This window comes from Homo sapiens, chromosome 7 (assembly GCF_000001405.40).
Source record: "Homo sapiens chromosome 7, GRCh38.p14 Primary Assembly".
In the NCBI taxonomy this organism is placed as follows: Eukaryota; Metazoa; Chordata; class Mammalia; order Primates; family Hominidae; genus Homo; species Homo sapiens.
Window position 1 is genome coordinate 41,255,568 of NC_000007.14, and position 27,238 is coordinate 41,282,805.

Sequence of the window (27,238 nt, forward strand, 5' to 3'; positions counted from 1 at the left end):
TTCTTAGCAGTCTGTTCCTGTCGTTCCCCTACTTTTTCTGTGTCCTCTACATGATTTTATTTGGGTGCAGCTCCAATTCATCCACAGAGTCCTACTTCCCATCATTTTCTTTAGGAGGAAGGATTGAAATTTCTAAATGTAGAAACATCCCCAGTTTTCTATTTGGAACAGATGAACTCTGGGCCTGTATGGATCAGAGAGCTAAGAAGGAGAGTCTCTTACCTGTTTTAGGCCAACGGAATTGCTGCATTTCAGGTGGTAGGACAAGTTCCACACTGCTGTTCTGAGCCTCACTCACATTTTGGCAAAAAGTTTGCTGTGATCCTCACAGAGTCTAAATTAAGGGCTACTGGCACACTGCCATGTTGAGTAGAAATATCATTTCATGATGTTCTTTAATCCACCCCCACGTACCCTATGAGGCTCACAGAAGCTAAGTAACCTTCCCAAGTTGACTGGCTAATCCAAGATACATACCTAGGTTTGTACATCTCTCAGTATTGTATTCACCCACATTGTAAGCTGAATAATAGTCCCAAAGATGTTCAAGCTGTAATCCCTGGAGCCAGTGACTGTTTCCTGATATGATAGAAGGAATGCTGCAGATGTGATCAAGTGAAGGATTTTGAAATGGGGAGATTATCCAGGATTATCTGGGTAAACTATTGTAATCACAGGGTCTGCACTAAAGGGGATCAGGAGAAGTCAGAGTTTGAGGAAAAGACAACGTGGTCATGGCAGTGGAGAGAAATCTGAAGATGCCACATTGCAGACTTTGAAGATAAAGGAAGTGGCCACAAATCAAGGAATGCAAAAAATGCCGGTTTAGAATCTGGAAAAGGCAAGGACACAGATTTTCCCTGAGAGTTTTTGAAAGGAGCAAAGCCCTGTGAACAAAATTAAAGCCTTAGTTTTGGCTCAGTGAAGACCGTTTTAGACATCTGAATTTCAGAGCTGTGGAATAATAGATTTGTATTGTTTTAAGCCACTAGGTTTGTGGTAATCTGTTACAGCAGACATAGCATATGAATACACCCAATGGTACTTTAACATACCAATACCTTCCATCACGTAGCCACAGTTTAGCTTTCTCACCTAACACTCGCCTAATAGCCCTACCTCAAGAGTACTGCACCCCTACTTCATACAAACAGCTCACAAAATCACCAAACAGCATTCTTTTCATGGAAGACACTTGGGAAAAGTTAGTTTCCTCCAACAGGGGAAAATTACTTAACTCCTCAGTTTCCTGATTCATACAAATGACTGTATCAGTTAAGAATCTTAGACTACAAACTGAGTTATTGAAAGAAGGTGACTGCTTTTCTGCAATGAGCTTGATTTCCATTTCAAGTCCCTCTTCCACTAGGGACAGGAACTGACCATCATGCAATTCAACTGTGGCCTCCCATCTCTCCACAGCATGATGTCTCCATGGGAGAGTAAGAGATTAGGGGTTTGAGGGCCTGAAGGGAGAGGAGATGGCTGTCCTCCCTCCACGGTGACATCAACTGAGATGCTTCATTCCTGCCTTGTCTGAGGATGCTGCTCCAGGCAGGTCCACACAGAATCTTCCCAACCACGAGGACCCTCTAGATGTATCAGCTCTCTGCGCGACTTTCAATCTGGGAGAAATGTTGACATTCCCATTGCAACTCTGGAGCCCATCAGAATCCTCTGCATTGGCAGCCACATATGCATTGTTCTCACTATGCTGGGTGCAAGGAGCTCAGGGTTTTGCCTATTCAGAAAACAGGGAGCAGAATGTTTCCTCAATTAAAACTCCAAACCTAATTTAAGGATTCTATATTCTCTCTAGCTTCATTCTAGAAATTTTTATCTAGTCTTGGGTATAAGGGAAAAGCTGGCTTCCCAACTGATTAGTGTTTCTTATCTGGAGATCTTAACATAGGAAAACCCAAAGTAAAAAAGCTTACATTTTAATCCCTGGATTCTTATAGTACCACTGTCCTTTGAGACAATGGGTGCCTCATGACTTTGCTAATTTTCCCATAAAAATAAAAAGCAGAGTAGTGAAAAGAGAGTAAGACAAATTGGTAAAATTCCTGGATAATCTTTGTTTTTCTTCGCAGATGCACCCCACTATGTGTCCAAACCCTGACTCTTGCCTATGGTTTCTGGTTGGGTTTAGCCAATAGAAGACACTGGCAGGAGAACAGTGAGGTCAGCATTTTGATTATTGGAGCAGCCTCTTGGCCAGGATGTGGAGAGGTTACCACATCCCTGTACGGGTGGCTACGGGTGGTACAGGTGGCTACGTTGTCTTCCCCACAGAGCTCCTCCACACCACTTCCTGGAGCCATTCCTAGCAGAGTAACACCAGCTCCCAGGGCACAGCACCAGCCTGGTTAGTTTCTGAAAACTGCGCCATCACCTCCAGCTGTAGATAGCCTTCTTAATGAACTCTCCTCAAATATGCTATTTAGTTTTCTATCTATTTCCTGCCAGAACACAGATTGATAGAGGTAATATATTTTTAAAAAAGTTCTTCATAGCAGGGAAATGATCACACCTCCTTCACAGATTTGATTATTTTATATATTAACCCACTAAAAGACATTTCTGGTTTAGATGGCTCTCACTTAGATAGCATTAACGTACTCTTGGAAACACAGAAAGTCTTTTTTTTTTGGACATAGCACTGAGAAAGAAGTAAAAAAGTTCATTTATTGTCAGATTCTGGAAGATCTTGCCAGTGATTCCAAAGAAGTCAGTTAACACTCAAAGTCCCTGTCTGGAGTATCCTTAACATCTGAACTAAACTGACAAGCAATTTTGGTGGAGAACAAGAATTCTAAAATGAATGTGGTGTTATTTTTAAGCAAACTATTTTTTTAGAGCAGTTTTAGGTTCACAGCAAAATTGATCAGAAGGTACAGAGATTTCCCATATATCCCCTTCTCTGATGTAGAAACAACTTCCTCCACTATCAAAATCTTGATACAGAGTAGTATATTTGTTACAATGCATTAACCTACACTGATATTTCATTATTACCCCAAAGTCCATAGTTTACATTAGGATTCTTGCTTAGTGTTGTACATTCTATGGGTTTTAACAATTGCATAATGACGTATAGCTACTATTGTAGTGTCCTACCAAATAGTATCACTGCCCTAAATAGTTTCTCTGCTTTGCCTATTCATCTCTCCCTCCCCACTAACCCCTGGAAACCACTGATTCTTTTACCGTCTCCATCATTTTGCCTTTCCCAGAATGTCATATTGTTGGAATTACACAGTATGTAGCTGTTTCAGATTGGCTTCTCTCGCTTAGCAACATGTATTTAAGTTTCCTCTATGTATTTTGATGGCTTGATAGCTCAATTTGTTTTTATTGTAGAATAATATCCCATTTGTAGGTATGTGCCACCGTTTATTTATCCATTCACCTGCTGAAGAATAACTTGGTTGCTTCCATGTTTTGGCAATTATGAATAAAGCTGTTATACATATTTGTGTGCAGGTTTTTGTGTGGACATAAGTTTTCAACTCATTTGGATAAAGACCAAGGAGAGCGATTGCTGGATCATATGGTAAGAGTATGTTTAGTTTTGTAAGAAACTGCTAAACTGTCTTCCAAAGTGGATGTATCATTTTTCATACTCACCAGTAATGAACAAGAGTTCCTGTTGCTCCACATCTTCTGCAGCATTTGGTGTTATCAATGTTTTGGATTTTGGCCATTGAATGGGTGTGTAGTGGTATCTCACTGTTTTAATAATTCCATAATGACATATGATGTTGAGAATTTTTTCATATGCTTATTTACCACTTATAATCTTCTTTGGTAATGTGTCTGTTCAGATCTTTTGCCCATTTTAAATCAGGTCATTCGTTTTCTTTATTGCTTAGTTTATGAGCTCTTTGTATATTTTGAGTTACAATTCTTTTTCAGATGTTTTTTGCAAGTATTTTTCCCATTCTGTGCTCATCTTCACATTCTCTTGACAGTGTATTTTGCAAAGCAGAAGTTTTTAATCTTAATAAAGTCTAGCTTATGAGTTATTTCTTTAATGGATTGTGCCTTTGGTGTTGGAGACGAAAAGTCATTGTTCCCAAGGTCACCTAGATTTCTTCCTATGTTATTTTCTGTAAGTTTTATAGTTTTGCATTTCACGTTTAGATCTATGATCTATGTTGAGTTAATTTTTTGTAAATGGTATAAGACTAATTTTTTAATGTAAATGTCCAGATGTTCCAGTACCTTTTGTTGAAAACACTGCCTTTTCCCCATTGTATTACATTTACTCCTTTGTCAAAGATCAGGTGGCTACATTTATATGGATGTATTTCTGTACCCTCTCTTCTGTTCCACTGATCTATCTGTTCTTTCACCAATACCATACTTGATTACTATAGCAGGGGACAGAAATCTAGGTAGGTTTTTTTTTCTTACAACATTTTAAATATTTCACAGCGTTCTGTTTTTATTTGCATAGTTTCTGAGGAGACATTAGATGTAATTCTTATATTTGTTTGTCTGTAGGTAAGGTTTTATCCCCCACTTGGGCTATTCTCCAGATTTTTAATTTTCTTTTCTCTTTTTCAGTTTGACAATGATATGTCTAGGTGTAGTTTTTGTTTTTGTTTATCTTTATGTGTTGAAACAGGGTCTTACTCTGTCACCTAGGCTGGAGTACAGTAATCACAGCTCAATGCAGCCTCGACCTCCTGAGCTCAAGGGATCCTCCCACCTCAGCCTTCCAAGTAGCTGGGACTACAGCTGCATGCCACCACCCTTGGTTAATTTTTTAAATGTTGTTTAGAGATGGGGGTCTCACTATATTGCCCAGGCTAGCCTTGAACTCTTGGGTTCAAGCAATCTTCCACCTTGGCTGCATGAGCCACCATATACATATATATATGTGTGTGTGTGTGTGTGTGTGTGTGTATGTGTGTGTGTGTGTATTCTCTGAGCTTCCTGAATGTGTGGTTTGGTGTGTGAAATTAAATGATTTAAATATTTCTTCAGATATTTTTGTTCCTTTCTCTCTTTCTTCACCTTCTGGTAGTACCATTATGTGTAATTATACCTTTTTTCTGTTGTCCCAAAGTTCTTGGACATTGTATTGCTTTTTTTCAGTAATTTTTCTATTTGCTTTTCTGTTTGGAATTTTCTCTATTGACCTAATGTCAGTTTCAGATTTTCTTTTCTCAGCTGTGTCTAGTCTACTGATGAGCCCAACAAAAGCATTCTTCATTTCTGTTACTGGGTAATTTCCATTTTTTCATTCTTTTTTCTCTTTCCTACTGGGTTTTGGAAGTTTCTCTTGTCATATATTTACCTCCCAAGATTCTTTCCTTAGCCATGTTAAGTCCAATAATAAATCCATTAAAGATACTCCTTATTTCTCTTACAGGGTTTTTGATCTCTAGCATTGCCTTTTGATTTTTTTCTTAGAATTTGCATCTCTCCATTTATGATGCCCATCTATTTTTGCATGAGATCTGCTTTATCTTTTAGAGCGCTTAGGATATTAATCATAGCTCTGTTAAATTTCTAGTCTGATAATTCCAGCATCTCTGCCATATCTGAGTCTGGTTCTTAAGCTTGCTCAGTCTCTTCAAGCTGTTTTTTGCCTTTTAGTCTCCCTTCTAGTTTTCTCTTGATAAACATAGTGTTGGGTAAAAGGAAGTGCTGTCGATAGGCCGCTAATCATGTGGTGGTGAGGTGTGTGGGTGGGGAAGGATGCTAGATAGCCCCATGAGTATGTCTTAGTCTTTGAGTGAGCCTTTGCCTCTGAACCGGGAACTTCATGAGTGCCTCTGTTTCCTCTCCTTCCCTTGATGTGGAATAGGATTGCTAGAGTGGGCTGGAGTTAGGTACTTCCCTTTCGCAGGTCTGTTAGGCTCTGAGAAAACCCTAATCCTTTAGGCTCTGTTAAAAAAGTTTCTCTTAAAGGCAGGCCTTGTTAAGAAGAACAGAATGCTCTGAAACATTTCAGTGGTTCCTTTTCTCTGCCCTATGCCAGAAGCAGGAGGAAGTTTTTCTCTGATAGTCACTGTGAGAATCTAGTCAGGCTCCTGGAGGTAAAACCCAAAAAAACGTGAAGGCTTCTTACATGCTCGACTGGAAACCAGAAGTCTGAATGTAGCATTATTTGTTTATTGTTAGTAGAGACAAAGTTTCACTATGTTGCCCAGGCTGGTTTCAAACGTCTGGGCTCAAGTGATCCTGCTGTCTCGACTGTCCAAAGTGCTGGGATTGCAGGCATGAGCCGCTGCGCCCGGCCTGAATGTTGTATTTCCAAAGTGCAATCTTTCCTTTTTGTTATTTAAAGATACATAAAATTATTTCTCTTAATGATATATAGTGAGAAGAACACCTAGGTTAAAATTCAAAGAACTGGGCTTTTCTCTTTGTCTTCCCGTGACTGATCCTGTGAATCAGGCCCAGACACCTCACCTGTTGGGTTCCTTAAAGAGACGCTGAGAAGATCAGTGTTTCTTTACTTTTTGTAGATCCAAAGTACCTTTGAAGATTTTTTTCAGGCTATGAACACAGGCTCTCTCCAGTTAAAGAAGTCTATGTATCTGTCCTGGACAAAGTGGAACTAGGAATTTCTGGATCAGTCATCTAGAAAATTACTAATAGTTCCATCTTTAAGCCTTTTTGACAAATTCCAATTTGGTAGATAGGTCTGAACTCCATATACACAGATATTTTCAGGGTAGATAAAATATCATGAAATATACACATGCCAAATTAATAGTAACTAATATTTATTAAGTACTTAATATATGCCACATGCTGGACCTTTGTATGGAAGATCTACTTAGTTCTCTCCATCACTTTGAGAGACCAGCACAAGAGGACTCTATTTTGAAGGATGTGTTTGATGCTAATGATGTACCAGAAATTGGATGCAGGGAATCTTCCTAAGAATCCTACTAAGGTGGTTTTAGAGTTAGTTTATAATCTATCATGCAAACTGGGACACTTTTGAAAGCTAAAAGGACTCATTATTAATAATTAGACCTGATAACAAGCATAAACAGATTCTCAAGGGCAAACTGGGACATATGGTCCTGTTAGTTATCATCCTTCTTTTATAGAGGAGAAAACCAAGATGTGAGAAGCAGAGTACTTTTGCTGAGGTCATATCCTAGTTCGTGGACTAGATTTAATTACAGTTTTCCTCATGATGGTACATGGACTAGAGTTAATTCCAGAGATGCTGGACTTGAAAGCCCAGCATTGAAACCCAACACATTGGGATAGACCAGTGAATGGCACCTACAACAAATTTCCCAAGTACCTATCCTCAAACATCTTTCTAGCTTGTATCATCAATCTGTCCTTTAAAGGCAAATTCCCCTGTATTTGATCATGTACTAACATCAGTCACTTTAGAGATAAGCTAATGCGAGCTAAAGATCTATGAAAAGGACTATGCTTCATTGGAAATGCTCACAATAGCAGATTTTTTTTTTCAAGAAGGAGAGCCTAATTACCTTTCGAAATTCCAAAAATGTCAAACTGATTACGGTGTATGCTTTTTTTATAACATCACATGCACCGAAGTTATTTTGGGATAATGAGCAATTTTAATCTTGCTTAATAAAAGCTATTCACAGGGCACTTTAGGAGGGGAGCTGCATATAAGTAGTTTTACTAAACCACTTTCCCCTTTCAGTGGCATTTATTCAAGAGTATGCAAATTCTCTTAAAACTGGCAACCAAATTTAGAAATTAGAAGGGCAGAACTATGGACTTAATTGAGTAAATTTTTTTGTTTTTTTAAAGAGCATATTCACAAAAAAGAAAATAAAACTGAATTTTGAATTTTACATACCATTGATGTGCTGATAAAAAAAGAATGTGCTGAGTTTTGAAGTTGAATTTGAGTTTAAATTCAGGGTTTACAACCCCTAAATTTAAAGAAAAAAGATGTATTTAAGTCTTTTCAAACAGTATGATATGATAGGGTTTATCAAAAGATACTATAAAAGAAAAAATTCTTAGGAAACCTCTTTTCAAAGAACATTTTGTTTACTTTTTCAAGAATGAAAGAATGGTAAAATTTTATCACAATATTCTAAACATAAAAGTGAGTTGAAAATAAGCATCTTAAATGAGAAGAGATTCCTCTTGCTGGAATCTATTAAGAAACTATGGACTGATATGGGTGAGATCATTCATGAGACAGCTGACTGAGGCATTCATTACCTGGTTTTTGAGACAGAGAAAAGTAGACTCACTTCAAAGTTTCCATGGCACAAAGAATCCTCTGGAAATATTCTCTGCCCACTTTCTGTTCTGATTCTTCACTTTCTGAAATCCTTCTGATATCAGGGCTCAAGCTGACCAGTGAAGACTGGATGATGAAACTGAGACCAGCAAAGGTCCAGATCTATCTGTTCTGATGGAGGCAGCATCAGCACAGTTATCTCTTGGGAATTTGATTATCTTTTCTTCTCCTGAAGATGTCTGCCTCCTCCAAACAGTAAAGAGATAAATGTCCAAACAATTGACAAGAAAAGGAAAATGAGGGGCCTACCTGTGACTTCTCATCCTGTAGTCTTTCTGCTCTTAGGGAACTTATCGTGTTTACCTGCCTGGTCTGATCATATAAGATGTTCTCATTATTTTCCTCCTTCTTATTTCTGTTTCCATATCTATCAATTTAAAGATAAAATTCTACTTTTTTAAGAAGCCATGCTTCCATTCAATGCTTAAGGTGTCCTCTCGACCCTCTTCATTCACTGCACAAGTATTTATATTGTCTATGTGTGGCTGTGGCACTGCAGACTCTCTGGTCCCGGGAAGCCACAATAAAAAAAAAAAGAAGAAGCATTTCTTTCCTCAGTAAGCTTCCAGTCTTGCACCTTTTCTTTTCTGAAAGCACTTCCCTTGGTTCCTTCCTGCCTATATGCGCAGTGCTACTCCACTGTATACAAATCCGTCCTTGATCTTGACAACTTTCTTTTGTCATTACCCCTTAATGGGTGCCTCTGTATAAGGACCTGGAACATCTGTCTCCCCATCCTACTGCATTAGCTCGCTCTATGAACAATGGTCTGCATCTTGCCCAAAAGCACAGACTAATATTCACTTAAAGTTAGTGGATCTGCTATTCCCTAGAGATTATTAGATCCTCAAAATATTGTACAGGAGGAAAATGAATTCATAGCTTTTCCCATACAGCAAATTACTTGTAGAAACATCACCGGGGTTAGGAAGCTCCCACAGCCAGTGTGGGAACTCTCCCAACCATGCCTCAGACATTTTTTATTCATCTTCTTATAACACTATTGGACACCAAATTACAGAAAGGCAGACAAAACAAAGCTGTGAAACTAAAACTGAGTGTACAGATGACTTGGTCTGTTCTGCAGATAGGGAAAATGGGGCCTGGATCAGCAGAATAATTGGCCCAGAGTCACGCAGTATAGTAGTGGGAAGAGATGAACTAGTCTCCATGTCTCCTGATTCTAAGGCATTCCCCGACTTTGATTTGCATTTAGCCCTCTTTCTTGGTTCTTCCTTGGACAGGTTTCCTAAAAATCTGAAAATATAACACATTTCTTCCCAGTCCACAAGTACTCCACCAAGGCCCTTCTCGGGAAGAGTGCTCCCCAAGGAATGCACTGTTCTTGGTCTCAGCCCTTCTACTCATGTTCCTTCCATCAGAGAACTTAACTCCTCCATGTTTTTGTGTGGCCTTCTTGAAGGCTGTTAACCATACATATTCATACTAGACCTTTAATTGCCACTGAGTCCTGAATTTTAGACTTCTGGTAAGATAAGTAGGATATTTGCTGCATGTCCAAGATATATAGAGGAGGAGAGGCGATCACCACCACCTCCTTTTGCCACTTACAATGATCTCATAGGTGCTTATATTCCCTCCTTTGAGTTTCTAAATAACTTTGTAAGGGCACTGAGATATGGAAGGATTAAGGACTTGTCCAAGATCTCCCAGCTCGTAAGACGTGAAGTGGGATTTCAGTCATCTCTTCCGTCTTCTGGTCCAACTCTCTCAACAATGTCAATATCAGGCTCTCTCCAGCTGAAGTTTCTTCTAAACAATTGCTTTGCCCCCCTTGCATAGAAGAGTCTTATTTACTTACCTGACAAGTGAGATTTCTTAGCCCACCTTTCCCCACTCTCATTCTTTTACTGCAGCTTCCTACCCACCAATATTGAGAAGGAAGTAAAATGGAAAAGCCAAGAAAGAATGGTCGAATCAGTGAGTATCTTTTTTTTCTTTCCAGTGTGTGAACTGGTGATGGTAATACTACCTATAGTACAATGTTGAGATTACATGAAATCAGCCATATAAACCCTGTGCCTGGCACTCAGTAAAGATTTGTTTGACTATGATCCAAAGAGAAATTCAGTCCTGTGTCATATGTCTTTAGGGAAATCAAGGAGGGAAAAAACTCCTCTAATCTGCTTAAATTAAAATAAAAAAATATTATTATAAGACTTATAGAATGCATATTGATATACTTTGAGATAGAGTTCTAATAATGGGAGAGCAAATAGATCTGCTTGTTTCCTCAAAATTTTTTTTTTTTTTTTTTTTTGTGACAGAGTTTCACTCTGTCGCCCAGGCTGGAGTGCAGTGGCGTGATCTTGGCTCACTGCAACCTCCGCCTCCTGGGTTCAAGCGATTTTCCTGCTTCAGCTTCCCCAGTAGCTGGGATTACAGGCGCGCCACCACACCCGGCTATTTTATATTTTTAGTAGAGATGGGGTTTTTCCAAGTTGGCCAGGCTGGTCTCAAATGCCTGACCTCAAGAGATCCACCTGCCTCGGCTTCCCAAAGTGCTGAGATTACAGGCATGAGCCATTGGGCCCAGCCATTTCTTCAAATTTTAATACAATTATTTTCATTGCTTCTACTTTTGAAAGTGGGCATGCTTATTATAAAAAATTTGGAAAAATTAGGAAAAAATTAAAACATATATCATCCTCCAAAGATTACTGATATCTGGTGTACTCATTCTTGATTCTTGATCTGTAGGTTAGAAACGGGGCTGACAAATTCAGCTGTGCAAGTCGTGCACTGTATGATCTGAGGAAGCACCATCCACATAAATTGCTATATGATCAGCACTCTCTGGGTTGTGCACACATCACATATAACATATATCTCTATACATGTGCATTTTTCTCTTTTCATAGTGTAAAAATTCTCAGTATGATACTGCATTTTACTAATTTCATGTAACATGAAGTATATTTTATGTATTTCAAGAACTGCTTTAACAATGCTTTTCAGAAACCAAATAATATCCCTTTGGGTCATTGTGTGATTTACTTAATCACTACATGATGTTTAGAACTTTAGGATGTTTCCAAATTTCTGCTATGAGTGATGTCATTGTGATGAACATCTTTGTGTAGAAAACTTTCCCCTATATTTTGGGATTTCTTTAGTACACGTTGTTATAGTAAAAGGGTAAAAATTCCTTATGGCATGTATGACATATTACCAGATTGCTTTTAGAAAATGTTGCTATGTATTTATATACTTTCTTCCAAAGGGGTATGAGGGCTTCATATCAGCAAATCCAAATGTTTTCTTAAAGTTGACATTTACTTTAGCTTTTACCTAATTTTTAAAAGCAAATCTGGCTTGTTGTCCCAACACAAAAAGGGAAATCTGCCGAGAAAAATAATGCCAGTCATCATACATCTGCCTTGGAGTGAAAACTCAGAGGACTTAAAAATCCTGGTAAAAATAATCTAATTCACTTGACCAACTTTCCTTCTACATTTGAAGGTTATACATCTGTAGGTACTAGAAAAAGATAAGTCAATAGCACATATTCCCCCATTGTTAATATTATTAAGACTTATTTACAAACATGGGCCGGCCTGTGTTTGAGAAAGTCTTATTTGCTATTTGGAGCTTTAGGGACAAATTCTAGAAGAGGCTATAATAACAGGCATAATCCACAAGTGCTGTTTACACCCTTGCTACTCACAGTGTGGTCCAGGAACCATCAGCTTCGGTTATCACCTAGAGCTGGTTAGAAATGCAAAATCTCAAATTTCACCCTAGATGTACAGAATCAGAAAATGGATATTAACAAAATGTCCAGTTGATTCCATGCCCATTAAAGCTTGAGAAACATGGCCAGATACAGTGGCTCATGCTTGTAATACCTACTTTGGGAGGATAAGGAGGGAGAATCACTTGAGCCCAGGACCCCATCTCTACAAAATACATATATTTTAGATGGGTCATGCACCTATAGATGGGAAGATCATTGAGCCCAAGAGTTCACGGTTGCAGTGAGCTGTGATCATGCCACTGCACTCCAGCCCGCTCCAAGGTAACAGAGAGAAACTATGTCCCAAAAAATAAAAAAAGCTTGAGAAATACTGGTGTATACGTCCAAGGAGAACTAAGCACAAATTGAGGAGCAATAAAATGCATGTTTGGAAATGATCTCGAATGTTCAAGTTCCACTCTGCTTTGCGTTAGGTGCCCTTCTAGCTAATCCCACAGTGCATCAATACAATTATAGAATCCCTTATCACATCGTGTTGTGATTGCTTTCTTGTTTTTATTTGTACTTGTATTTTTGCTTGTTTTGCACTCCATACTTTTGAAGGTATTGCTAAATAAAAGTATTGTAAGAGTAATGCAATTTCTTTCTTTCTTTTTTTTTTTTTTTTTTGCAGAGAAATTAGCTATATTTTTTTCTTTATTTCCAAAAGTTACTTGGGAGAGAAAGTACAGTGAAAAGTCTGGTGGTTAATCTCTTTATTGTATGAATATTTGCTTCTTCAACTAAGACAGATCTGCCTTCAAATTCCCCTTCCCTTTGGTTGCAACACAGTTAAATCTAATGCTCCATCACTAGCAAAATCAACTTTTGCTAATATTCTATTTCATATTTTAACATCTTATTTGACAGGTGTGGTTTAGTTACTGGCAAGCATCTAATTTATGTCAAATCTAATATTATTTTCCTAGAGTGAAAGTTTTCCCTGTCTTGTCTTAGTCCTAAGGAAACTTTTTAAGATTTTCTTTTTCAGAAGAAGATGAATTGTGAAAGCAAAGTTGAATAACACATGTTAAAATTTGTTGTGAGGAAGCAAAATGTGTCACACCCATTTAAAAACACTTGATATATATATATATATATATCCCAAAAATACTTAAAAATGACTGAACATCGGCCATTTCTTTTAACATTAAATGTTAAAGAAAAATTTCAAGTGTTATATTTTAATCAAAACCAAAGCTTTTGAGTAATTTGAGAGGGGAGAAAAATGGAGATGGGAAGCTTTTGCAGGAGAATTTTTTGCTCAGACCCAGTTCAAATTTGTGATTCCATTTAGGTATATTATTATTTCCATAACTCTGAAGTTTCTGAAACAAATGTCCTTCTTTTTGCTGACTGTCTCAGATGTACCTAGCTGTGATGGTAGACAGTGGTGTTGTTAAAATGGAAGATGAAGCATTTCAGGAAGTCACAAAAAGCAACTGGTGTTCACTGAGCATCAATCACATTGAGCTTGACAGGCAATGCGTAGCCATGACTCAGCCATCCCCTCAACCAGAACTCTCCAATACTGTGTATCATTGCCTCCATTTTCATAGAGGCAGTGACCGATGGTTAGAGAGGTAAGATGCATAAACTTACACATTTTAAGAGGGAGAATCCAGAACTTAAAAAACAGGTTATGTTTGCTTGATTCCAAAGGTCATGTTTCTCCACCAGAACACTACAAAAATTGTACCATTTCTAATATTCTGTCCATGGCATTTCTGTTGGAAAGTTGAGAATAAATGAACATGTGCTTATTTTATTTACATAAAAATAACTACCATAATTAGGGGATTCATTCTTGGACTTGCTCCTTGTGAAAAATCCTTGAGCTTTATGGGATCAGTCAATATTCGCAGGCTGTGAGGAACTCCAGAAAGTCTTCAGTTACACCGCAGACAAACCAAAATCATTATTTATGATTTTAGTTTTTATTTGACTAGTTCACCTTCCTAAAGGATTGAGCTATCCCTAGGAAACTTCCTATGAATTCTAGATTCCTCTCTGCTCTCTGCAGTGGGCTATTACAAGCATTCAATGACTATTCTCAAGTGGCCAGGACCGTTTATTGGGGGATGGCTTTCCTAGCCATTGGCTTATCATCTGGTGGATGAGAGCACATTGCAATTGAGGAATCACTGTTACATTTGTCAGTGCTTGGGTATTTGACCCTCAGTAAACAGCATTTACTTAACTTTTACCAGAAAATGTCTTGATGGCATTATGGTATGATTTATTTACAGTTCTACAGATTTGGGGTTACATTTGGAAATCTTTCCATTGACAAAATAACTCTCCCCAAGGACTGTTCTCAGGAAATATTTGTTTTCAAGCCTTTAGAACCCACTTGAATCTAATGGGATAAACATGCACTTGGTCAACTAGGGATTGGTTATGCTACTCTTTTTAAAAGTCATCAGATCAACATTTCCAAAGTGTGGTTATTTAGCAAGTCTTCCAAAGAATATCAGTGGTTTGCTTCTTTTGCTTAAATTTAAACAAAGGTTGTTCTCAGATTCAACTTACTTGATTTCACACCAGGATTTTGTAGAAATACCTTCTAAACATCCTCCTCATCTCTGAATTGCCTCAAGGAGGCAAGCCTGTTCCAGGGAATGAGGTCAATCTGCACCCACTTTGCAAATGAGGACCTTCACATTTAGGTTACATTAAATAACTGTATCCCAGGAATGTGCCTCAAAAACCAAGAGTGGTCAAAGAGTCCGTCTCAATTTCATAAATACTTTACTAGACCCCTTTTGGGTTTTAGTTATACTCCCTTGGATATTTTGAATCTAATTAATGCTTAACCTTGGCCAAATTCCTTAACTGCTCTAAACCCTAGCTTTGTCATTGGTAAAAGAGGGATAATAATTGTAGTACCTGGTAAATTTATCATCGTGATAAAATGAGGTAATTCACAGTAAGTACTTAGCTCAGTGCCTGGAGCAAACTAAGTAGCCGAGAGATGTCAGTTGTTACCTCTCTCTTTGTTAACTATTTTTCATGCTAACTTGAAGAAAACATGAAAAACAAAAATTCAGAGACATCAACATTATTTTCAACTTATCCCCAGGACTGGGTTTCTGTTCACACACATGGCCAAGTGTCAGAATCACACCAGGGTGTCCTTCAGGTTATAGTGTCCCCAGCCCTGGCCCTCCCGCCTGGGTCTTTCTGAGGGTCTGCGCTAGGGCATCAGAATCTGGGCTTGTAAAATTCCTTAGGTGATTCTCACGAATGGCAGGATGCAGAGCTCCTATGGAAGGCTGGCAGGGCCCACACATCACTGCTGCCTCAGTGAAGCCAGTAATTCAAGTAGGAACAAGGGACACGTAAGCGTAAGCGTCCCTTTTTCCTCCCTCTGCTTCAAGTGGGTGCTTGTTTTACCCGAAGTACTCAAGTGGGCATAACCTCTCCCTCTCCTGCACATAACCATGCTGCATCTGGCCATAGCATTCAAGTGCCAGGTTCATCCATTCTCAAGGTGGACTAGACTCGGGATCCCATTCCATGTTTGAGGCTTTGACCGAATATCCAATAACCTGCAGGTGCCACAGAGAGGGCTAATTTGTGAGTTATTTCCTTGTAATTCTTAATGGACTGCTCTGGCAAAAACAAAACTCATTTGGCATCTGGTAAAAGGGATAAACAAAACTCCTCGCTCATGGAGCTACTTTGAAAATTGAATGAGTCAAGCCCTCAGTACAGTGCTCAGGGTTTGTGAGCTCTCAGGCAGCCTTAGTTGTCGTTTTTTGTTTTTGTTTTTGTTTTGTTTTGTTTTTAGGAAAAATCTATAAAATGTTACCTAAAATGGTTGCAGTATGCATTTTGATTCATCAGTTGATCTATTAAACATATTATTATTATTATTATTTTTGAGACAGGGTCTCACTGTTGTCCAGGCTGGAATGCAGTGGCATGATCTTGGCTCACTGCAACCTCTGCCCCCCAGGTTCAAGCAATTCTCCTGCCTCAGCCTCCCGAGTAGCTGGGATTACAGGTGTGCACCACCATGCCCAGCTAATCTTTGTATTTTTAGTAGAGACAGGTTTTCACCATGTTGGCCAGGCTGGTTTCAAACTCCTGACCTCAAGTGATCTGCCCGCTTCAGCCTCCCAAAATGCTGGGATTACAGGCATTAGCTACTATCCCTGGCCCATCCTATATTATTTTTAATATAAATAACTTACAACATGGAAATATTTATATATTTTGCCTTATTTTATGCTCTTCACTCCTAGGAACCTGAAGTAGCAAAGTGTTCCACTTTCATAACCCATAATGTTCTTGCTAAGGGCCCTGCTGCTTCCTCTTCCTCGTACAGCCCCTTCTCTCTTGTTTGTCTTTTCAGTCTTTTCTAAACCCTGGGACAGGCTCCCCATCTCTCCGCCCCCTCCTCAGCCTTTCTTTGCTCCCTCTCATTGTGGTCAAATGACAATTTGGCTGGTCTTCAAGTCCTTTAAGAGTTGCCTCCGGTGTCCTGACCAGAGAAAATAGGGGAAGGGGTACAAGACTACATCCCCAAAGGGCTGCTTTCTACAAAGTAAGCTAAGTCTCCAGGTTTAAGGGAAAGATGCTTTTTCCAGGTGTTAAACTTTGACTTTTTCTCATAAGCGCTGATATTCTTTTCTCTTTTGCCACTGCCCTCAAAATACTGTGACAGTTTTCTCTCTGGCCTTGGAGTTGCCTTGGTTATTAATTCAAAAATTATAAATTTCTTGATCACCTGTTGTGGCAAGAACATAACTTACTTTGCATCTGTCTTCTTTCCTCCCCAGGGACACCATATGTCCATTCCTGGCTTCTACTCCTTTTTATAAACACAAGAGTGGAAAGGTTTGGCTTTATTCGGTGAGTCTCTTTTATGTCAGTAAATTATATATGTCCCTCGTTGCAATCTCGGTCGTCTCTCCTTAGCTCATATATCTTCCATACTTGAAATGTCTCATTTATTCTAGCCATTTACTCAATAGTGCTTTTAATTAACGCCTTGTATGCTTCAAAAATAGGTATAGTTTATAACCTACCTTGGCTTCTTTAGTGTTGAAACTACAAACAGAAAACTTTTTTTCTCTTTGACCTGCTATCAATAGGTTATGTGTTTATTGTAGGAAAGTTTATTGCATCGTGCTCATTGTTTATGCAAATGAAGCAGTGACATTGTGTGCATTTAAAGTTTCATATGTGGCTCTCATGTGTGGCTTGAATACAAATGCTCACAGTGTTTCCCTTGGTCTCCTCTAGACACCTCAAAGAGGAGATGCAGGAGGATGAGCAGTCTGCAGTGCAGGAGGTTGGAGACAAAGAGAAGGTGATGTCACAGAAACCTACGGGCACATGGTCCCTTCTCCAAGGTACTCATTACACCAAAGTGAGCATGCATGTGACCGAGGGTGCCCTGGAGAGGGGACATTCACTTCCGAAAAGGGTGATTACCAAAGGCCACGTGACAGAAGGAGACCTTTGGTTTGGGCTGGAAGGATTGTTCAGGATTTTGCTGGACAAGGCCAGGTGGAAGGAGGATGTGATGAGACCCTGTTTCCTGGTAGTTGCCCGTGTATGAGGGGGTCATTCCTACATTCGTTTTATGGGCCATAGCTGTAATGTCATAGATCAAGGTCTGCCTTTAAGGAACAAAGAACGATGTCATCATCTGTGGCATAGAGAAAACAAAAATCACTACTTAGATTTCTTTTGAAAATAGAAGGTGTTAGAGTTTGAAACCTTCGCATCTTAACAGAAAAGAAGAGTGAGCCCCAGAATTAGAAAAAGAGAGGAAAACGGACCTCTATGGGCCAAATCCTGTGCAGGGTATATGACATGATTAATTCAGTTCTCCCCTGTGATGTCTCATAGGTGAGAAAACGGAGGCTCACAGAAGCATAAGAACATCATCTAGACACGCACCTGGTTAGTGGCAAAGCCAAGGCCAGAGCAGGTGCGTCTTTTTAAATTTCCTATGATCTTAGTGTTGTGCCATATGGGGACACATTTGGCTTTGTGTTAAGTTGCTAAGTTGGTCACAAGTTGATGTTTTCAGATTCTACAATTCAGGCATTAGTTGGTTAGCTCTAAGTGTCAGTTAGGCATTTGCCTTAATTTTGAATAAAATGAAAAATGTCTAATTTATTTTGGGAGGGTGAGAGGGAGGAATAACCAGGATCTCTCAGAGTTCAGGAGAAACTAAGGCTACTTTGATTTTGTTAAAACTCCAGGTATAAAACATAAAGATATATCAGAAGAGTACTATAAATTCTGTGGTTCATTTTTAAATGTTTACATTTAGCAAATTTATTTCAAAAAATAAAATATATTGAGCTATTCACAAGACAGCCAGAACTTATGAAAATATTGACTATGAAAACATAGACATCTTCTTCCAATCCAGTCACTGTATCTCAGTGACTAAATAAATAAACTCAGTTGAAGATAATATCAAAAGTCTGAATTTGAAGCCTAGACTAAATGGCCTTCCCTGTCCTTCTGTAATAGGCTCTTTATCAGCATTCTTCCAAGGCCCTAACCTCGGCAGGAAACCCTAAAGCCTCACTGGCCGCCTCTCTATGTTGGAGTGGGCATCTGCTGAGACCACATTGTTTGACGTTGCCTTGAATTGCTGGCATTGCACTGAGTTCACTCTGGCTACTATCTCTTTGCTTTCAGCCTCCTTTCTGGGTCATGCTATCACACCTCTGCTTAATTCCCGGTGACCCTAATGTCCTTGCTTTCCTATCAGGGGAATGACTGTCCTCCCTCCAGTATCTCTTACTGGGAAGCAGTGCTGATAGAAAGAGGAGAGAAAGAGCTGAGCATGGCTGGGGAGCACCACAGGGCCAGTAGTGGGCCAGACAGCTGAGCAGCCTCTGGGTCAAAGGCTTCTTTCTGGCTGGCCATCTCCGGCCTGAGGAATCCCCCTCCCTCTCACCGCATGGCTGTGGACTGGCGTCCATGCAGTTTGTGCCTAGTGCCAAAGCCAGTGTTCTCTAGGACACACTCCAGGAGGCAGGTACTTCTGGTTGCCTGTGGCAGGCAGCAGATCTAGATATCAGTTCCTTCCAGAGAGGGCCTATGTGAATCAAGACCCCAGCCCCTCAGTGGGTTGCTGTGTAGAGATTCCAGAACTGTTCTTCAACACATCCCCCTAGAAGGCCATACAAGCACAGCAAAACCCTCTGCTCACCCACGACCTGGAGCTCATTAGAATAAAGCAAGTGAGGTGAAGCCTGGAGTCTGGTTCAGCAGTAGCATGCCATCTGCCCTCTATTTGTGACCAGAAAGCCCATGCAAATGAACTACAGAGTGCTAACCGTGTGTTAATACACAGTTAGTAAAGATGAAAGCGTTCCACCCCATCTTTAATAACTCCCAGGCCCAGGCTTTATAAAAGGAAGCTGCATGTTAAAATCACCCTCCCTGCCCACCATCAGGTCAACCTCAGCGGTATTCAGTAGGAAATTTCAAAGTGGCCAAACATGAAGTTGCTTTTAATATCCATCTTTTTCATGGCAACCTGATGTGCTCAATGTCTCTGTTTAAACACTTGCAGATTGAGATGGACTTGCCTTTTCCAGGCTCATATGAGTAACAGCAGCAGCTCTGTTGCCCTACTCCTGGGGTACACTTATTTGCAGAGCCTTTGTTGCTAGGGCTGAGTCCCTGCTCTTCTTTGTGGTCCTTCTCCAACAGAGGCAGGATGGCTGCAGATCCCCTACCACCAGCATAGAGACGAAGGAACAGGAGAGGAGTGAAGGTCTGACCAGACCAGATTGGCCACCCCAGACCCCAGCAGGCACAGCAATGCACCAGCGTGCAGGCAGCCCCATTCGCCGGAGTCACCATGCCCAGCCCAACAGGCTGCCTTTGTTTTTATGGTGATTTTTGCACGCTCATCCTTACACGATGCACGAATGGGGTTGGAATGGGTCTTTGGCAGAAAGCAGTGGCATCTGTCATCTTTGCTTCACCACGATTCCAGCTCAGCACCAGGCCTCTGGTAGCGCTTTTCCTCCTCATCACATTTGTTCCTGTTGACTGACCAGATTATTGATCGCTCTGTTCTGCAGCACTGGGTGGGTTAAGCTTGGTTGCCTCCAGGCCTCTGCTTTGGAGTAAATCTCCATGAGCCAAACTAAATTCCTCAGTAGTACAAAACAGATTTTAACATTTGCAGGAGAAAAATAAAATGACACAAATAGTCACACACCCAAACCACACAGTGCAAAGAGTAAAGGTAGATATTGCAGCAGCAAGTCGTTTAGACATCACAGGTGGTTAACGGGCACCCCTCCCAGTACAGTCTCTAGGCCAGTAAGACCCTAGGAGAAGAGCCACAGGCGTAGAGGAAGCTGTGTTGGTGTTGCATTCTATCTGCACAACTCAAATGGGTAATGCTTGTTTGCTCTGAAGTGCTCTGGGTCACCAGCTTCTGCCCACCCTAGCTTTCAACTACCATCACCCTGGGAACAGGCTCCTCAATTCTAATCCCTCCTGCCTGCTGAATGTAGATTCTTTTCCTAAGATGCAATTCTAATCTTGTCCTGCAGATCTGATTCTATTACAGCCATATGATGTGGTTCAAATACCTTAATTTGAGTTAAAAAGTCATCCTCGACTTGGCCATGGCCAACTTTCCTACCTTGGCTTTGTTTGTTTTCTCTCTTTCAATCAGGCCCAGCTGTTTTGGATGTGTGTGTGTGTATGTGTGTGTGTGTGCACATGTGTGTGTGTGCATGTGCGTGCATGCAGGTGTGTGTGTGTGTGTGTGTGTGTGTGTGTGTGTGTGTGCTTTCTCTCCCTGGGTATATTGGAACTCTTTCTGTTCTCCTTCACACATCTGGGCCTCTACTTCTTGCTCATCTGCACTTCTGGAAAGTTGCCCCTTTCTCTTCATCTAATTAACTACTGTTTACCCTGTGGATTCTAAATGCCACATCCTATTTAAACCCCTCTGTTCTACGCTTTTATAATACCCAGGCGTCCTTATCACAACATCTCACTTTGTTGTAATTGCTTATTTAACAACAGTCTTGCTTACCTCAAGAGCAACTGTATTCCCTGTGCCTAGCTCAGTACCTGACAAACTGTGGGTACACAATGAGTGTGGGCTGAATGGTGAGCTGAAAAAAAAAAGAATCAATGGGTCTTTGTTTCCCAGCTACACAGAGAGCTACCTGGCTCTGAGAGTGTTATTCCGCAGAATCCTTTCAATGCTTTTAACTCTCCTTCCTTTCATTCTGCTTAAAGTTCTCACCTCTCATGACATTATAAAGAGCTGTGCAGGTGTTTCTCCATTCATATATAGCAGAATTAAGCTAAGACTTGTTCCTGCTGATGAACCGGTTATTGCCAACCTCTCCATTCTGTGAGGGTGAGGATGGGACAAATGGTGCCCTGTCCATTCAGATGGCACCAACCTTTGAGATATGAAATAAGCTTAGGATTATTGGTGGGTTTGAGGACAGGAAATTTCATTGTGTTATCTCTCATCTGAAAAGTGGTGGCAATGGGGGTAAGCTTTTAATCTTACATAATTCTGTATCTATTTCATAGGTTGATAAGAAGTCTGTTTAAATATTTAAGCAATACATATCCTTCATGGATATGTAGTCCAACTGAACTGCTGCCACATACTGGAGACATGCCCTCTTTGTTTTTTACAAGGCATCTACTTCAAAACACGGAAAGGAAATATCATTATCATCTGTTGTCTTGTTCAATTAAATTTCAGGTCTAATTCAACATCAATTTCAAGGAAACTGACACCACTGAAGATACAATTAACTCAATTTTTGTCTACCTCATCTCCAGAGCAAACCAGAACAAGCCCCAAATTCACCTTCTTCCTTCTTCTCCCAGACCAAGTCCAAGGTCAAGTCTAGACATTGATCTTGAGCTTTGCATTCTCCAGAACTGTGAAAAAATAAATTTTTGTTATTTACACCATCTAGTTGATGGTATTTGTTATGGAAGCCAAAGCTCACTAAAGCACTCCTCAACCCACTTGGATCTAGTTTTTGTGTGAAACACAAACACAGAGGCAGCTCCTGCCCTGTCAGGACAGGGCAACATCAGTGACCTGATAGTTGTCCAATGCCATGATCTATTTTCAGGCCTCTTCACCCTTGACTCATGCAGTGGGGAACACCCACAACCAAATCCTTGAAGCTCTTTGTGCTTCTGCTACCGCCTCTCTCAGCACTCTTACTTCTCCTTAAGTAACACTTCCTCCAATTCTTCTCCTTTTACCCATGCCAATGTATTACAAGTTTTCTGGTCTTGGCTTTATTATTCTGCATTCTTGGCTTTATTATTCTGCCGGTGATGGCTTTTTCAACTCTTATACTCTCTCATACCATTATATTAATAGATGAATCCCAGCTCCATATCAGCAGACTAATTGCTTCTCTGAGAAGCACTGCCTAATTTCCTTATGCTTCAGCACCTATACTTTGCCAGACACCTGAAACTTTATACCTTATTTGTCATCTCTCTTAAGCACTGACTGATTCCCTAGCCCAGTGGATAGCATTGCCATTCATCTATTCTCTCAATTTAGAAAACCCGGAATTACAATGAACTCTCCATTTTTCTTTTCCCTCTATACCTTATCAAATTCCAAAAGCTATCAATTCACCCTGAAATTGTCCCCATATTTGGATCTCTCCACTTAAATATGTGCCATTTGGAATGTCTTGGTTCAAGCTTATATTCTTTCTTGCCTGCACTATGCAAAAGTCTCCTAACCAGAAGTGTGCATCAGTCTGCTATCTTTACTGAAAATAGACTTACCATCCTGGAAAACAATGCAATTTTTTTCCCTTTTACTGAGACTTCAGTTGTCTGCTCAGTGCTTATACTAAATAGTATTTCCTAAACTCATTCCTTGGGATATTAATTATACTTTTTCTTGGGATGTTAGTAGGTGTTTTGTAAGTAAAAGGGGGAAGTTAAATGTTTAAAAGTTAATCGATGTTGAAAATGCTAGGTGAAATAAATTTAGTTAATTTACTGAAGAACTTAGAAACTGGTAATTTGCATTGTAACTCTCTAAGAGGAGATCGTGCAGGTCCACAGTCCTTTATCCAAAAATCTTTACTGGATGTGTTTGGAATTCAGAAAGTTTTAGATGTTTAGAAAGGTAAATGGTTGGTATATATACCACTATCAAATGATACTTCCTAGCAATCAAACACATTGTTATTTCTGTTTTGAAACATATGACCATCATACTGAGATAAATAAAGACCAAAAATAGTCTCACGTCAGTTCAGGTAAGGTTTTGCAGCCTGAAGAATTACACAAATTGTTTTTCTGAGATGTTTGGATTTTGGAATTGATTATAAGGGGCTGTGAGCCAGTAATATGCTGACTTTCCCAAACATATTTGACTTGGAAGCTTTTCTCCCAAGAGCATCTCTCTAGGGGTTTGTACCATGATATACATTTTTGGAAATGCAGACATATAGACAACCTGTGCTCCACCATTGACATGTTATTCTTCTCTAAGAACCTTAACATTTGCCACTTGGTGTTTCTTGCTGTTTCTTTGCCCTTCCTTCTCCACCTGGAAAATGCCTATTCAATCATCACATTCAAGTTCAAATGTGGGTTCACGCTCCTGTTGTGACTATTATCACATTGCATGCTAATTATCTCTTTACTTCTTTGTCAACTATTTGTCAAGAGGGTATTTACTTATTACTGAATCTCTAGTGCTTAGAATAGGTGCCTGCTCAATAGGAGATATTCAACAAATGCTGAATAAACGAGTGAAAACTAAATAATATGCTGGTGTTAGTTTTGAAGTTTTATTGTTAAGAGCGGAACCAACTGTTCATTGATACTAAGAATCTATATAAAATCTTGAGCAATGTCTAAAATCATGTAGTATGTGCTTTTGGTGACTCATGCAGAATTCCTTTACCTGGAAAGATAGTATTTCCATTCTCCAGTTACTATGAGTATTACTGCTATATATCCTTCATGCACCATCCTATCAGGTACTTTAGGAGGCAACCGACGTGTCCATTGCAGGGTGCTGCTCCTCACTTGGCAGAATACATTTGGCCCAGTAACCAAGGAGTGGAAGTTGGAGTGGTGCCTCTCACCATCACTCCCAGGGACAGAAAATTTGTGCTTCTCATGCCTGTACCTTTATACTCTGTGAGTCTAGAGGTTTTGGTCCTCTGGGCATAGTTGCTTCTACTAGAGGATGCAGTGAGAGTTCCACTAAACTTACAGCTGTAGCTGTTGTCTGTAGACTATAGTCAAAGAATAAATTTACCATCTAGCAGAGTAAACAAACCTGAGTGTCAGGGGCATGTAGGACAGCTGCTATAAATGGGGGCAGAAGGAAACAGTCTGGCATCCAGGTGATCCTCTGGAGCATATCTTGGAACCCCTATGTTGACTTCAGATTCTGCATATTCAAGTACAGCATCCAAAGCCGAATAAGGGAATGGTAACTAAGGGCTGAGGAAATGATTCTCCCACTCTCACCAGGTGAGCCACCTTTACTAGGAAGTGCTGGTTGAGCTGAAGGTGTATCCAAAGCGGTTATAGTGGAGGGAGATGATAAATATCAGTGATGGCCTCATGACAGGCTGTACTTCTGGAATGCTGTTGCCTTCTCTTCATCTAATTCAGTACTGTTAATTAATCAGCAGTAGGGGCTACCAGTTTGTCTAATTGACTCTTTCCTTGTAAGTGTGCTCAGAAATTTTGACTAACCACAATCCTGGCAAAGGCATGCCCAAAGAAAATGACATTAATGTGAAAAGCAAGTGGGTCTGAGAGTTGCAAGGGGTGGGTAGTATTAAGTGTTTGTGGTGTCTCATCCTGATCCCCCTCCACCAGCCCACATAACCATCCCCAGCTGCCATGAGTGTTGGCCAACAACAGCTCACCGAGGCATCTTTCTCTGGAGCACTGAATGCCTCATCCAGAAATGCCCTGGTGGATGTTCATGAGGCACTTTACAGCCAATGAGTAACTGATACAGGGATGGAAAATCCCACCCTCCTTGCCTCAAGGTAAGACGTGTTTGTGATATTACTCAAGCTGTTGAGCTCCCTGTGGAATCAAGCTAATATTAGTCTTCAGCTGAAACCACATGTCTGCCTGGCTTCTTTTGTCCCGTCCCGCTTTCCTTACTTCCTCATAGCTGTTTTCTGAATAGAACACTTGTTCAAGAATCATCATCTTAGGCGCCACTTCTAGGGAAGCTCACTCAGACAAACACTTGCTTGAGTAGTTTCCCACTTAGGATTTTTCTCTTTAGCCAACACAGTCAACTATTGGTTAATGCATGTCTTAGTTTGAGCTGCAAATTGTATTAAAGTTAGCTTTAGTAATTGTAATTTTTTACCCCAGTCTGAAGAGTCAAAGTCTTTGCAAAACATCATTTGCCTTAATTTAAGTATCTTCTTAGATTCAGCATCCTTTTCATTAAACTATACCAGGGAATGTTATTTTTCAATGTCTGTAGAATTGAAGGTTAACTGATATACAAGTTGGGCATTGTTTATTAGATGGTTGGTTGATAGATACATACATAAATATATACATAGACATATAGATACATGATAGATGCTAGATAGATACATAGATGGATACATAGATAGATAGACAAGTAAATGATTGATAGATAGATAATAGATATACAGAGAACTGGAATTCTTTACTTCAGCCTGGCAACTCATGTTTTAGAGCTTTCAGTATCCTCAACACTTTGTCTTTAAATGGAGTGGGTGCTGATATATGGTAATTTGAGTGCATCATTTAGAGCATATTATATGGTGACATACACAAGGCTGCTACTTACATGTTCATTAATTCTTATTCTTAAACATGACTGTAAGCAGCAGCTTATAACTTATTTTAACCAAAGCTGATGATAGTATCAGAAGCTATTAACAATACTTGGAATACTCTGCTCTCTTTTTCCGTGTTGCTGCTTATTGCCAATGCATGAATTCAGATTCCCCATGGCAATCTCTTCTCTGGATGCTGCCATCAGATCCTCACTAACTTCTTTCCCTACAGCCTTGATTGTCATCATGGGCTCATGCTTTTTGTTTTTAACCATGCAATTCTTTCTGCTTTAGGAAAGGACATACACCACTCATGGGAATATAGATTGGTAGCGCCTTTTTGGTGGGAAATTTGGCAACATCAAAATTTTGCATGTGTTGCCTTTAACAATCCCATTTCTAAGAAATCTTTCCAAAGGGGGTACTCAGATAAGTAAGAAAAGATGTAAACACAAGGACATGGCATCGCACCCATGTTTATAACAGTAAACAGTAGAAGAAATCTTGTTGCTTATCAATAGGAAACTAGTTAAAGATATTGTGAAAAATCCCACACAATAGATTACTACATGGCTCTTAAACAAGATTATGTGTGTGTGTGTGTGTGTGTGTGTGTGTGTGTGTGTGTGTGTGTATCTGTCTGTACACTGTCTTAAAAAATCTTTTTGGCATATTGTTGAAAAAAACAGCTTGTAAAACAGCATGTATATTTTGATCCCATTTATGTGCAGATTATATACATATATGGTCATACATATATATCCATATATTATACGGCCAGCTTTGGAAGGGTGTCCATCAAATCCTTGACAGTAGCTGACTTAGTAGTTAGTCTTGGGACTTATTTTTTTCTCTCTTGTATTTTTTTTTAATTTTCTAAAAACTGTCATTTTATCTTTGTAAGTAGTAAAACAGTAAGAAAAAATACTTTAAGGTCATTCAGCACTCATGGGAATATAGATTGTTATAGTTATCTGTGATTCAAAGTCACTTTGGGAACTTGGAAGCAAGTTATTTACTCTTGGTAATATACATACATTATTAAGGGAAGATTTCTGGAAGTTTCTTAATGAATCTTCACAAAAACCTTGTGAGGTCAGTCTGATTATCTCAAGAGAGAATAGTGAGAGAGCAGTAGTTCTACTGGTCTGAGCACCTCAAGAGGGAACAGGGAGAGAGCAGTGATTCTGTTGGTCTGAGTATCTCGAGGGAACAAGGAGAAGGCAGTGGTTCTGTTGGTCTGAGCATCTCAAAAGGGAACAGGGAGAAGGCAGTGATTCTCTTGGTCTGAGTATCTCAAGAGGGAACAGGGAGAGAGCGGTGGTTCTGTTGGTCTGAGTATCTCAAGAGGGAACAGGGAGAAGTCAGCGGTTTTGTTGGTCTGAG